Here is a 15,607-nt window from a genome sequence, read left to right as displayed (position 1 = left end):
CTTCCACTGCAGATGTCTCTCAACAGCATTGCTGCTACAGTTGCAACCAATGCGTTCTGTCAAGGTGAATAGAGGTGGATAGAGGCCACCATATCACCAACTTTGTTGTCAGAATAAAGTGGGCAGCCCTCATAAGCAAAGTCTCCACCAATGCCAGCTTCTCCCTCATAGTTATAAATCCAATAATATTTGTGCTTTCAGTGGCCCTTAGAAATTTTGCAGAAACAATTTTGGTTCTTAATAGGTATTTTTTAATGTTTCCTTGTCCAGAGATTCAGGGTGAATTCATGATGAGGCTTATGCTGTGCTTAGAATGACCCCTTTCTTTCAAAGGTTACCTGTTGTCCTTGAAACACTCTTTTCCTGTTGACTTTTTATTCTTCCAGGATAAGTTATTTTCTATGAGGCTCTTTAGTCTCTTATGTGCATAGGTTCCTGGTGAGATCACCCTACTGTATCTTCATGAGTCACAAGGTGAAAAAAGTTACACCTCAAGCCCTTGCCTGAGTATGTGATCACTGATGGATGGGAAATTTCAGTTCTTAGAAGGAGGTGGGATAGAAAGAAAAAATTACAAAAGGAAGGAAGATCAAGGAGCTCTGAAAAAGTCGGGCTGTGGGGAAAAGATCTAACCATCCACTTCCTTGCTCTATCTCTGTAATGTTCATTCCAGAGGTTACCTAGAGCAAGAAAATGGAAGAGAAGTGCTCTTTGTGAAGTGCCTATTACTTGCCAATCACTGGTGAGAAGTTCTTCATGTTCAATATCTTCTTTAGTCTTAGCAAATTCCTATGGAGCAATGTTAGGATCCCAGTCTTACAGATGAAAAAATTAAGACTGGGAAACATCAAGTAATTGCTGGAATCTTGATTCTGACTTTGAAACTTCCGACGTTTCGGCAACACAATTCTGACTTCTCATTTGTTCATCAACTTGAGTTAGAAGTCCTTCTGAAGCCCAGAGATGTCCTGCGTCTGACTCTGTCCAACTGTGTCCCTCTTAGCCATGTAATCTGGCTGCTCCTGCATCACCAAGCTGACCTTTAGGGTTGGCTTCTTTTAGTCCAGGGTTTCTCAGCCACAGTACTAGTGACATTTGGAGGCACATAATTCTTGGCTGTGGCGGCTGCCCTGTTCATTTTAGGATGTTAACAGTATCCCTGGCCTCTATTCACTAGAAGTCAGTAGCATCCTCCCTTACCCTGAGTAGTGACAACTAGAAATGTCTCCAGACATTGCTCAAGGTTGCCCAGGGATCAGAATTGCCCCTGGCTGAAAACCACAGATTACGGGATCCCAGTCCTAAGGCATCTCCTCTTAAGAAGGCTCCACTTGTCTGGTCATCTCCATGAATACTTCGTCATTACCTTCTATAGCCACATTCAACAGACCAGCACCTGACTTTTTTCAGAGAGGATGCAGAGACCCATGTACAAAGTGAGCGGAGTTGAGCAGGCCACCTGGGCTCTAGACAGAGCCTGGGTGAAAATGGTGGCCCTGAGGATGGATGGGAGGAGTTTATAGGCAGGTCTGGTTGATGCCCCTGTGCTCTTTTTCCTGCTTCCTTCGGAGTGGGAACGATGGTTAGAGTGGGAAGTATCTGAGGCCCCGCCAATACCTGCAACTCTCTAATTCCCATCCTCGATAGATTTTAACTTTTTGTCTCAGGTTGCTGTGTCTCCCCTGTTCTGGTTTCCTGTCTCCCTCATCTTTTCTCTGCTTTCCACTCCTTCCTTGGAGAGTTTGGGCATCCCAAGCAAAAGGAGAGACTCACTGGGATGAGATGAATTATCTTTATCAAAGGAAGCATTACACTCTTTTTGTTGGCTTCACTATCTCCCAGTGACACCAAGTCTCTTAGCTCAGCAAACTACTAAGCAACACTTTGCCAACTGTGATTAGATGCATCACGGCACACATGGATGCATATGTGTTTAACACAAACACAGATAAAGATACTTTTGCTCTAACTAAAATGGTATATTTTTGTTCCTCTACTCTGTTGTCTTATCTAGACACCTCTTAATATGGGACAGCTTCATAAGTCACCTTATCTTTGATCAGGTCCTCACCGAACTCTGCAGATAGCACCCCTGTGTCCGCTTGGCTGTCTTTAAAGAACACTAGAGAAGAATGACCCAGTCCTGATGACTGGACTTGGTAGAGGACAGATGGAAGGGCATTTGAATGCTCATTGGTTGGCCCAAAGAAAATAGATGGCCAATGTTTTATGGAACAGGCACGAAGCAGTTGGTGCTTCTTGCCATCTCTTCCTCCAAGAGAACTCCTGGTTTGCTGGTTTGGAATAGTGATGATCTTAGTGCATTTGCATTGTTATCAATGATAGTTTCATTTGTTTTATTTTTTAACTAAAAGTACAATTACTTAAACATTGATGGTCAAATGCACATGTTATGGTCACAGGCTTACGTGCATGATATGCATGATACATAACTGCTAGGAAAGAACGGAACATATGCAGATAGGTAACCATGTTAGTGATGAATTAAAGGGCTATTTCCTTGTTATGTTGTGTTATAACAACTTATGATAAATATTGACATTATTGGGTTCATTTTAGTGTGACTTGGTGTTGCTTTAGCATAAATAGGTTTAATTTGGGCATCGGAAATGTATAAAAACTTTGCCATTTGATATTAATGGTGATTTTGTTCTTTACTTATGAAAATTTACATTAGGAAAGGTTCTTTTCAGAAGGTAGTGACTCTCAAAAGGTAGGAAGAAGACTGTGTATGGTGTATGAGTGTATGTGTTCAGATTTAGAAACAGACGTGGATTTTTAAAAACTTAAAAATATATATGTTTATATAAAATACAATATATATTTTAAAATTAACTAATGTCGTTACATTTTTGTATTTGAAATCTAGAAGGTATAGACTCAGTGAAAAATGTTTCATACTTTGAATATATTAACTTAGCAGTAAGATAATGATGATTTTATAAAACAAAAATTTATCAACAAAGAATTCATGTTCTAGATGAGGGGGATTAAAGACAGGATGGTTAATGGGTACAAAAATACAGTTACATAGAAGGAATAAGATCTAGTGTTCAGTAGCACAATAGGGTGCTAATAGTTAACAATAACTTACTGTATATTTCAAAATAACTAAAAGAATGGAATTGGATATTCCTAACACAAATTCTTGAGATGATGGCTATCCCAATTACTCTGATCTGATTGTTATACATTATATGCTTGTATCAAAACTATTACATGTATGGTTATACATGTAACAATTTATGGGGTACAGGTACCCCATAAATATGTACAACTATTATGTATCCATAATTTTTTAAAAGTAAATAAAAAATAATTCATGTTATAAATAGTATTTTAGTTTCTGATTTTATGCTATATTTTTAGTCCTTGTTCTAACTTGTAATTTTGCAACAGATTATGACTCCCAATGAATTCGCTTGGAAAGGCTGTTTTTCTATAGTAGGAAACACAATGTCCTTAATATCAGATTATCATTATTTTACCTAAATTTATTCTTTCTTTGCAACTAATTATTTCAATCCAGTGACTCTGGGGACATTCTACAGGTAGCCAGTATACATTGTTTCCCTTGCAAGAGACATATTTTCTATCTTTTCGCTTTTTGTTTTTGACAAACGTAGTTTTAAATGCCTGCAAAAACTTGCAGCCCCTCCTTCTCAAATGGCATTGCTGTTTTGTGGTTATTATCTTATGTTGCCTTAAAACTTCTAAACATGGTAGAAATAAAGCATTGTTGTCCCACGTGAGCCTAAGAACATCAACTTTGAGGAGGTAATGCCAACCCCCTTTCATCCAATGTCAAGTGTCAGCTCGATGAAACAATTTCATGGTATTTGACTTAGTGAAAATTTCTGATCTTTGACAAACCTGAGAAAAACAAGAAATGGGGAAAGGATTCCCTATTTAATAAATGGTGCTGGGAAAACTGGCTAGCCATATGTAGAAAGCTGAAACTGGATCCCTTCCTTACACCTTATACAAAAATCAATTCAAGCTGGATTAAAGACTTAAACGTTAGACCTAAAACCATAAAAACCCTAGAAGAAAACCTAGGCAATACCATTCAGGACATAGGCATGGGCAAGGACTTCATGTCTAAAACACCAAAAGCAACGGCAACAAAAGACAAAATTGACAAATGGGATCTAATTAAACTAAAGAGCTTCTGTACAGCAAAAGAAACTACCATCAGAGTGAACAGGCAACCTACAAAATGGGAGAAAATTTTCGCAACCTACTCATCTGACAAAGGGCTAATATCCAGAATCTACAATGAACTCCAACAAATTTACAAGAAAAAAACAAACAACCCCATCAAAAAGTGGGCGAAGGACATGAACAGACACTTCTCAAAAGAAGACGTTTATGAAGCCAAAAAACACATGAAAAAATGCTCATCATCACTGGCCATCAGAGAAATGCAAATCAAAACCACAGTGAGATACCATCTCACACCAGTTACAATGGCGATCATTCAAAAGTCAGGAAACAACAGGTGCTGGAGAGGATGTGGAGAAATAGGAACACTTTTACACTGTTGGTGGGACTGTAAACTAGTTCAACCATTGTGGAAGTCAGTGTGGCGATTCCTCAGGGATCTAGAACTAGAAATACCATTTGACCCAGCCCTCCCATTACTGGGTATATACCCAAAGGACTATAAATCATGCTGCTATAAAGACACATGCACACGTATGTTTATTGCGGCACTATTCCCAATAGCAAAGACTTGGAACCAACCCAAATGTCCAACAATGATAGACTGGATTAAGAAAATGTGGCACATATACAGCATGGAATACTATGCAGCCATAAAAAATGATGAGTTCATGTCCTTTGTAGGGACATGGATGAAATTGGAAATCATCATTCTCAGTAAACTATCGCAAGAACAAAAAACCAAACACCGCATATTCTCATTCATAGGTGGGAATTGAACAATGAGATCACATGGACACAGGAAGGGGAACATCACACTCTGGGGACTGTTGTGGGGTGGGGGGAGGGGGGAGGGATAGCATTGGGAGATATACCTAATGCTAGATGACGAGTTAGTGGGTGCAGCACACCAGCATGGCACATGTATACTTATGTAACTAACCTGCACAATGTGCACATGTACCCTAAAACTTAAAGTATAATAATAAAAGAAAAAAAAAAGAAAATTTCAGGGGCTGTCGCCCTGGGCCTCTGGGATTCTCATCACACAGTAAGTCTAGTTGACTGAAGCATGAGGAAGAAAGATATTGCCAAATGTGTCTCAATCACTGATGTAATTTGCAGTTCACATCTTTTCAGTGAAATAACATAGAGTATATGTGGCTAGCTGAAACTTATTTTAAGTCACAACTGGAAAAGTAAATGAAAGAGAAGAGAGAACCTCATAAATTAATTGAGTGGCACTTTAGAAGCAGGTGCAACCAGGCTCTTGAAAGCATACATCTCAACCCTGGAAGTCTGCATTCCAGCTCTCAATCCTTGCAGGACAGCTTTATTGGCTTTGAGGTTTATGATTTATGACTTGCCATTCATGGAGTCTTTATAAAATTTCAGCGGAGAATATTCTGACCAATGCCATGATTAAAGGACAAAGGTTTAAACAAGTTGACCAAGGTCAAAAAGGGGGTTAATTCTGAAGTTGGCATTAGATGTCTGGCCTAGTTTCCATCTTCTCAGTCACAATTAGCGTGAATGGCCATAAGATCCAGTATTTTCAGCAAAGTCCAGGTTAAACAGTCCCTATATAAATATTGATCATGCCCCTTTCACTCAGAAAGTCTCCCAGTTTCATGAAAAATTCTATATTCACCTTACTGTCAGGTGTTCTATGTCTTCATCTGCCTTAATATATTTTCCTGATTAATTATTTAAAAGGTTTATCTATTTTCCCTTTGTGTAAAATAAATGGGAGAAGATTATTGTGTCCTTCAAGTCTTTATAGCAATATAAAAAATTCAATTTGATTATTAATATTTTCCATTTTTAGTATTAGAATTTTATTCTGAGTTATATACCCAAGATAAACAAGTGCATATATCCACACAAAGACTAGTACACCCCATTTTCTTTGCATTTTTATTCATAATAGTCCATATAGACACATACATATACACAGGCACAAATATCCATCAACAGGAGTCTGTGTTTTATTTGGATGGAGGAATACTACATAGCAACAAAAAAGAACAAACCATTGGCACATAAAACTGAATGAATGAACCTTAGAAACTCAACATGTTTCTCATGTTCTTCAACATGTGCCTCAAAAGGCACAAAGAGTACATACTGTACAATTTAATTTATGGGATAAAAAAACAGACAAAGCTATTCTTTCATTGGTAGAAATCACAATATTGCTTGCCCGGGAGGTAAGGGTGGATACTAACTAGATGGAAACAGGAGAAGCTTTCTATAATGAAAATGTTCTATATCTTCATCTGGGAAGCAGTTCCATGAATATATACATATGCAAAAATTTATAGAGCTTTACAGTTTAGATTTGAACAATTTATTGTGTGTAAATTATATCTCAAGCTGTAAAAGGCCAGAGAAGAAATTATGTAAGAACCACATCTATTATATATTTCTATTAAATTTCTACAGCATGTTTATAACGACATCTATTAGATATTTCTATTAAATTTCTACAACATGTTTATTACTGACATATTCAGAGAAGTAACACAGGCTATGAATAAAATAATACTATAACTCATTTTCATTAAGAATGGGTATTTATACTAGGTGATGGGTTGATAGGTGCAGCAAACTACCATGGCACACATTTACCTATGTAACAAACCTGCATATCCTGCACATGTACCCCGGAACTTAAAATAAAAACAAAAATAAAAATTGAAAAAAGGCATTATTCACAATAGCAAAGACTTGGAACCAACCCAAGTGTCCAACAATGATAGACTGGATTAAGAAAATGTGGCACATATACACCATGGAATACTATGCAGCCATAAAAAATGACGAGTTCATGTCCTTTGTAGGGACATGGATGAAATTGAAAATCATCATTCTCAGTAAACTATCGCAAGAACAAAAAACCAAACACCGCATATTCTCACTCATAGGTGGGAACTGAACAATGAGATCACATGGACACAGGAAGGGGAATATCACACTCTGGGGACTGTTGTGGGGTGGGGGGAGGGGGGAGGGATAGCATCGGGAGATATACCTAATGCTAGATGACGAGTTAGTGGGTGCAGCACACCAGCATGGCACATGTATACATATGTAACTAACCTGCACAATGTGCACATGTACCCTAAAACTTAAAGTATAATTAAAAAAAAAAGAATGGGTATTTATCATTGTATAGTATTAACTTGCTCCAGTGTAACCACATTCCAATTTACTTCGATGTATCTGCACTCAAAATAGCAAGAACAAATTGATTCTCATGGGTCTACTTGTCTTACCTCTCCCTTCCCTTTCTTCACCATCATTGAGTCCTGACTAACTCTTATCAAAGTTCTGTGGTTTTGGGTGAAAATGCTGAACAAATGAAGTTCAGTCAGAGACAAGGCCGTGTTGGAAGGTTTGATTGCCAGGTCCTGGAGACCTGAGAGGTTTATGCTGAGTGCAGGCATTAGGAGGTCAGAGCTGAGGATACCAGGCATTCTTCTCTCATTCCTTCCCCCTCTCTAAACTCCTGTCTAGGGAAGGGAGATGAAGAGGGAGAGAATTTGAGGTTGGAAGTGTACCAATTGGCGCTTTCTGAAATTTGCTGCAGAATAATATTATAATTACAAACAGGCAGGCTCTGTTTTCATGGCAACAAAAACAAACTTTAAGGCAAAAGTGTGGTGGGAGTGAGGAAAGGCATATGGTTGATTAAAACAACTTTCCTTTTTTTCCACCAAAACATTTAATTGGCTTTAGAGTCAAGGAAGGTTCATAGTCAAAGATGCCAGTAAGTTCCTTTGTATCCCACTTTTCATCTCTGCTTTGCTCCTATTTTGTGTCAAGGTTTATGTAAGTGCTAAAGGGTTTAGACCAATGATCCTCAATTTGAGGTGATTTTGTACCCCCACCCCAGGAGACTTCTGGCAATTTCTGGAGACATTTTTGGTTGTCACAATTTAGGGGTGGGGTGCTACTGGCATCTAGTAGGTAGAAGCCAGGGATGCTGCTAAGCACCTTGCAAGGCACAGGTTGATACTCACCTACAAAAATTATCTGACCCTAAAAGTCAATAGTGGTAAGGTTGAGAAACCCTGGTTTGGACTAAACCCTATGTCTAGGACTAAGAGGGAAGGCAGAATGTGTTAGGATTTAGAATCCTATCGTAGAACTAATATCTTAGAAATCTTTTCATTTCACAATTCTGTTACATGTGAAAATATCTATATCCAAGGGCTGGGATGGACCCAACCCTCACAGCATTTCTCAGTGACTTTGTGGGGCATTAAGACAAGTAGAGCCACAAGAGTCAATTTGTTTTTGCTATTTTGATTTAAGATACATCAAAGCAAATTGGAATGTGGTTATAATGGAGCAAGTTAATACTATATAATGATAAAATATAATCTTCTTGAGGAAAAGGACAAAGATAAATGAAAAGATCATTGGATGAGTCATCAGAAAACCAGGATCCTAGGCCTGAACTGTCATAGATCTGTGATTTTATGACACTGGTTGCTTGGGTACTCTTTCTTAGCCTGACTTTCCTCATTTATGAAATGAAAAGCTGAAGTAGATTACTTTTCTTTAAATCTCTTTTAACACAAATATTCAACGATTTCATGGGAACCAACATACTCTTCACTAAAAAAAAAATGGCAGCATTAGTTCTGGAATATTTCAGACAATAAAATGACTAGAGGAATGTAAAAATTGTTATACAGATTACTCTAAAAAAACTCTTATTATGCCTGTCACATAGAAGAAGTTTCTTTGTCTCTATAACATGAAGATATGTCTTTCTAAATTGTCAGTTAAACTGTTTGGCAAAATGTGTTCCAGGTAAAGATAAATAACTGTGCAGAGCTGTTTAACATTTGTTCCTAATGTTAACTTTTAAACTCTGCTAAGAAAAATAATTCTGTTCAGAAATTTGATCTGTCTGCCTTCCTTTTATATTGCTTTTGGCTCTTCCAGAACTTCAGAAATGTCAATTTGTTATTCATGTTGGCCTTCGCTAATCCTTCCAAAGAATGTGAAAATGCCCACAGTCTTTTATATTAGGAAATAACTGAGATTAAAACAGATTAAATCTAAGCTTCTTTCTTTGGCTCTGTTCTGATGTAATGAGTGTTACTGCAGCATTTACAAAGGCAGTGGGGTTTTTTACACTAAACCATAATTTATTTGTATGAGCATTCAGTAGGGCCATTGATACAGTTAAGCCTGGTGACTTTTCACAACTTAAATGCCAAGATCCTGGGGTGCTGCTCTGAAGTGTTGGGCAAGGTGGTAGTAGGGGAGGAGTTAGAGAGACATAAGTGTGTGTCATGCCAAAGTCATGGAAGGGGAAGAGGGGGATGGACAGACTGAGGGTTGTGGACTTGCAGAACCAGTGGGGGAACATGGCAGGGTAGCCAGCTCACGTACTAATGAATTGGAAATCGAATTGTATAGGTGAGTATCTTCTAGATAGCATCTATTCTGATCACCAAGAATAATATAATGTTCTCTTTTTCATGCAAGACGCTATAGGACTCACATCAGAAAGAGGGCGTCTTTATTTTCCAGTAGTTATACAAAGAATATGATGTTCTATCCACAACCCTTCATATAAACTGACTTAGGATGAGACACTGTGACACAGGGAGCTAACCAACTCACAGGGGCTGAAATGCACATGGCTTTGGGCTTCAGTTCTACCCCTAAAATGGTATGGCAGAGGCTTTGAAGAGAGTGAATGCATTATACTTGTTAGTTATTACTCAGCTACATTCTCTCCAACCCAAAGCTGAAAGAAAGCTGGAACTAAATTCACTTAAGGGTCTGAGAAAAGCTTTCTGTTTTTAAGAGACTGGATAAGAAGAATCCCTCCCAGAAATCTGAAGTCTATTATTGTTTCCTGTAGTTGCACTTGCCCAAAGGAAGTTCTCGTTTGATTGACTCTGTCTGCTGCTCCATAGCGACTTTCCAGCTCTCAGGCCTGATCCAAGGAGCCACAGAGCATGCCCATCAAGAGCTATGTGGGACCATGGGGGCGGGCCTGGGTTTTATGTGAAGTAATGGCTTTTCAAGCCTGGCATGACAGTTCGCAGTCCAGCATGGCAACCAGCAGCCCAGCATGAAGGAGGCAGACAGTTGAACAGATTATTTTTATGGCTTACTTAAAGAAATAGTTTTGATGTCAAATCCATTTTGGTTTCAAATGGGAAAATCAGAGTTAACCTCTCTATACTATTCAGAAAAAATCAGCTGAAAAGTGCAGAAACCAAATTGGTTTACCAACTGGTGGTCATCATGCCGAGAGCATTATAACCAATGCTCTCCTCTTTGCAGTCCCTTCACCCCAGTTGACTAATTGTTTAGATCCAATTAACTTTCATTTGTTGTATGTTGCATAAACTGGACTTTACAACTAGGTATAAGAAGAACAAGGAGGGAAGAAGAGTATCTTCTTTGTATTAAATTATGTCTCGTTTTTCACAAGATAGTTCATATCTCCCTTTAAATGTCATATATGATATATGCCTCTTTAAATGTTGTGATTGCTTGAAATTGTGAAAAAAATTAAAATTTTTATTGAAATGCTAATTATTTCAGAGGATAATTTTTAGCACAATGATATTTTTTATCCTGCCTGGTGGTGGTTTTGTCAGCATAACCACATTCTCCATCTTTTTCTGTCTTAAAAAGGCAATAGAACAAACAAAAATAAACAGAAATTAAAAAAAAAAAAGCATCTGTTCCGATTCCTTCAAGCCTTGAACTCTTCTCCAAAATTCACTGTTCACTTAAAGCTTATATTTTGGAGGTCACCCATAATATCCTAGTATGAAAGTCATGGTGTTTCCTTCGTGCTCATTCAACACTCCTGCTCCATAGCATTCAACCTTGCTGACCAAGTCTTCCTTAGAATTGTCTCCCTCCTTATTTTTGTGACACTCTGTTATCCTTATCTTCCTATTTCTCTGATCACTTGGTTTTTGCCTCTACTTTTTGGTCTCTCTTTCTGTTACTTTAATATAGTTTAATATAGACATTTGTCAAACCTCTTTCTCTCCCTATCCCTCTCCCTCTCTCACAACAATCCTGTACTAACATGGCTTTCATTAATTGTCCTAAATGGAGAACTCCATATCTTTATTCATTACTGACCCACCTCTCTAGATCCATCTAAACCAGAATTTTTCAAACTTGGCACTATTGTCATTTGGAAGCTGGACAATTATCTGTAGAAGGGGCTGTCCTGTGCGTTGTATGAAGTTCAGCAGCACCCCTGGCCTCTACGCACTAGATTGACTAGCACACCCCCAGTTGTGACAGTCAAAAACACCTCCAGTCATTGCCAAATGTGCCCTAGGAGGCAAAATCTCCCCTGGTTGAGAACTACTGAAATAAATATTGACAGCAGTGGGTAGCAAGAGGTGGATACAGGTCTTAGAAGAGGAGAGATGATGTTAAAAATAAGTAGATTTTACCCAACAGCTAGATTAATTCGTAGAGTTTTTCTCCATGGTCAAGTGGGCTTCATCCCTGGGATGCAAGGCTGGTTCAATATACGCAAATCAATAAATGTAATCCAGCATATAAACAGAACCAACGACAAAAACCACATGATTATCTCAATAGATGCAGAAAAGGCCTTTGACAAAATTCAACAACCCTTCATGCTAAAAACTCTCAATAAATTAGGTATTGATGGGACATATCTCAAAATAATAAGAGCTATCTATGACAAACCCACAGCCAATATCATACTGAATGGGCAAAAACTGGAAGCATTCCCTCTGAAAACTGGCACAAGACAGGGATGCCCTCTCTCACCACTCCTATTCAACATAGTGTTGGAAGTTCTGGCCACGGCAATTAGGCAGGAGAAGGAAATAAAGGGTATTCAGTTAGGAAAAGAGGAAACAAAATTGTCCCTGTTTGCAGATGACATGATTATATATCTAGAAAACCCCATTGTCTCAGCCCAAAATCCCCTTAAGCTGATAAGCAACTTCAGCAAAGTCTCAGGATACAAAATCAATGTACAAAAATCAGAAGCATTCTTATACACCAATAACAGACAAACAGCCAAATCATGAGTGAACTCCCATTCACAATTGCTTCAAAGAAAATAAAATACCTAGGAATCCAACTTACAAGGGACATGAAGGACCTCTTCAAGGAGAACTACAAACCACTGCTCAATGAAATAAAAGAGGATACAAACAAATGGAAGAACATTCCATGCTCATGGGTAGGAAGAATCAGTATCATGAAAATGGCCATACTGCCCAAGGTAATTTATAGATTCAATGCCATCACCATCAAGCTACCAATGACTTTCTTCACAGAATTGGAAAAAAAAAACTACTTTAAAGTTCATATAGAACCAAAAAAGAGCCCGCATGGCCAAGTCAATCCTAAGCCAAAAGAACAAAGCTGGAGGCATCACGCTACCTGACTTCAAACTATACTACAAGGCTACAGTAACCAAAACAGCATGGTACTGGTACCAAAACAGAAATATAGATCAATGGAACAGAACAGAGCCCTCAGAAATAACACCGCATATCTACAACTATCTGATCTTTGACAAACCTGAGAAAAACATGAAATGGGGAAAGGATTCCCCATTTAATAAATGGTGCTGGGAAAACTGGCTAGCCATATGTGGAAAGCTGAAACTGGATCCCTTCCTTACACCTTATACAAAAATTAATTCAAGCTGGATTAAAGACTTAAACGTTAGACCTAAAACCATAAAAACGCTAGAAGAAAACCTAGGCATTACCATTCAGGACATAGGCATGGGCAAGGACTTCATGTCTAAAACACCAAAAGCAATGGCAACAAAAGACAAAATTGACAAATGGGATCTAATTAAACTAAAGAGCTTCTGCACAGCAAAAGAAACTACCATCAGAGTGAACAGGCAACCTACAAAATGGGAGAAAATTTTCGCAACCTACTCATCTGACAAAGGGCTAATATCCAGAATCTACAATGAACTCCAACAAATTTACAAGAAAAAAACAAACAACCCCATCAAAAAGTGGGCGAAGGACATGAACAGACACTTCTCAAAAGAAGACATTTATGCAGCCAAAAAACACATGAAAAAATGCTCACCATCACTGGCCATCAGAGAAATGCAAATCAAAACCACAATGAGATACCATCTCACACCAGTTACAATGGCGATCATTCAAAAGTCAGGAAACAACAGGTGCTGGAGAGGATGTGGAGAAATAGGAACACTTACACTGTTGGTGGGACTGTAAACTAGTTCAACCATTGTGGAAGTCAGTGTGGCGATTCCTCAGGGATCTAGAACTAGAAATACCATTTGACCCAGCCCTCCCATTACTGGGTATATACCCAAAGGACTATAAATCATGCTGCTATAAAGACACATGCACACGTATGTTTATTGCGGCACTATTCCCAATAGCAAGGACTTGGAACCAACCCAAATGTCCAACAATGATAGACTGGATTAAGAAAATGTGGCCCATATGCACCATGGAATACTACGCAGCCATAAAAAACAATGAGTTCATGTCCTTTGTAGGGACATGGATGAAATTGGAAATCATCATTCTCAGTAAACTATCGCAAGAACAAAAAACCAAACACCGCATATTCTCACTCATAGGTGGGAATTGAACAATGAGAACACATGGACACAGGAAGGGGAACATCACACTCTGGGGACTGTTGTGGGGTGGGGGGAGAGGGGAGGGATAGCTTTAGGAGATATACCTAATGCTAAATGACAAGTTAATGGGTGCAGCACACCAGCATGGCACATGTATACATATGTAACTAACCTGTACATTGTGCACATGTACCCTAAAACTTAAAGTATAATAATAATAAAATAAAATAAAATAAATTAATTAAGCTTTTCCAACAAATTAGGTAGGAAAAATATTTCTGCTTTTTCTCATAGAATGTAGTCAATTTTGAACTGTTTTTGTTTTCACACAAAGTACTTAGCCATATAGAGCTAAATGATAATAAGAGAAATGGTGTTCTTAGAACTTTCATCTTAATTCTGTATTAAAGACCACTTATTTGACCATTTTCCCCATGTAATAACATTAAACTCCTTTAGAAAAGCTCTGGAACATACCCAATACCAAAAGGAAAAACTGTATGGTTAAAGGTTAGATAAAGTGCAGAGTTAACCTTTAGACATTTCAAATAGACAAGGCAAACATTCTCCTTTAAGCCAAGTGTCTGTCTCTTTAGAGTCTATCAATTTAATTTTTATCAGTTGTAACCAACTTCTTTTTTTTATTATTGTACTTTAAGTTTTAGGGTACATGTGCATAATGTGCAGGCTAGTCACATATGCATACATGTGCCATGTTGGTGTGCTGCACCCATTAACTCGTCATTTAACATTAGGTATATCTCCCAATGCTATCCCTCCCCCCTCCCCCCACCCCACAACAAAACCAAACACCGCATGTTCTCACTCATAGGTGGGAATTGAACAATGAGAACACATGGACACAGGAAGGGGAACATCACACACCGGGGCATGTTGTTAATCAACTTCTTAAGAATGAAAGAAACCATGTTTATATCCTGGAATTTTAGTATTAAGGGAAGGCTCTAGATTTAGGAGACAGAGAACATTGGGTTAATAAGCCTGCCATTCAAGTTTTACTAGAAAGATTTGCTTCCCTGGAGATTTTTGTCAAAATTACAATTTTCAGACTAAAATTATCAAGCGTAGGTGCGCAAAACAAAATTTAAAAACTATCATGACCTTTTGACTGGATAAGTTATGTCACTAGGAAACTAGCCTTACTCTCAATTATGTTAGCATAGTCTGTTTGGTTTTCCACTAGCTTTCAATCTTTATTTATAATAAGAAGACAAATAATACAGCTAGGTGCGTATTAGTTTCCTATTGCTGCTGCAACATATTACCACAAATATAGCAACTTAAAACAACACAAAATCTCACTGCTCTGTAAGTCAGAAGTCGAGTTGGCTTGGCTGATTTCTCTGCTCAGGGGCTCACAAGGCTGAAATCAATGTGTCAGCCAACTAGGCTCTCCTCAGGAGACTCTGAGAAAAATCCACTTCCAAGTTCTTTGGCGTTGTTAGCCAATTCAATTCCTTGCGGTTGTAGGCTTGAGGTCCCCGTTTCCTTGCTGGCTGTCAGTCAGACCACTCTGCTCCCAGCAGCTGCCTACATTCTTTCTCTTGCTTTCCCCTGGCCCCTGCCGACAGTGGTGGGTTGAGCCCCTCTTACCCTTGGAATCTCTTCAGTTTCCCCTTCCATCATTGCTATAAACTGAACATTTGTGTACCTCCAAAATTCATATATTTAAACTTAATACCAATGTGATGGTATTTGAAGGTGGGGACTTTGAGAAGTGATTAGGTCATGAGGGCGGAGCCTCATGAATGGGATTGGTGCTCTTATAAA

General features: G+C 38.4%; 1 long non-coding RNA gene across 1 annotated transcript in view; it reads left to right on the top strand.

Moving 5' to 3' along the window:
- The window catches only part of HCCS-DT (HCCS divergent transcript), a 263,596-nt gene that overhangs the window by 130,525 nt on the left and 117,464 nt on the right, over positions 1-15,607 (top strand). The gene's annotated exons all lie outside the window — the stretch shown is intronic.

The sequence above is a fragment of the Homo sapiens genome, chromosome X, assembly GCF_000001405.40.
Source record: "Homo sapiens chromosome X, GRCh38.p14 Primary Assembly".
NCBI classification, from domain to species: Eukaryota; Metazoa; Chordata; class Mammalia; order Primates; family Hominidae; genus Homo; species Homo sapiens.
Note: the sequence above shows the minus strand (reverse complement) of the source record. Positions and strands in the feature narration are given on the sequence as shown.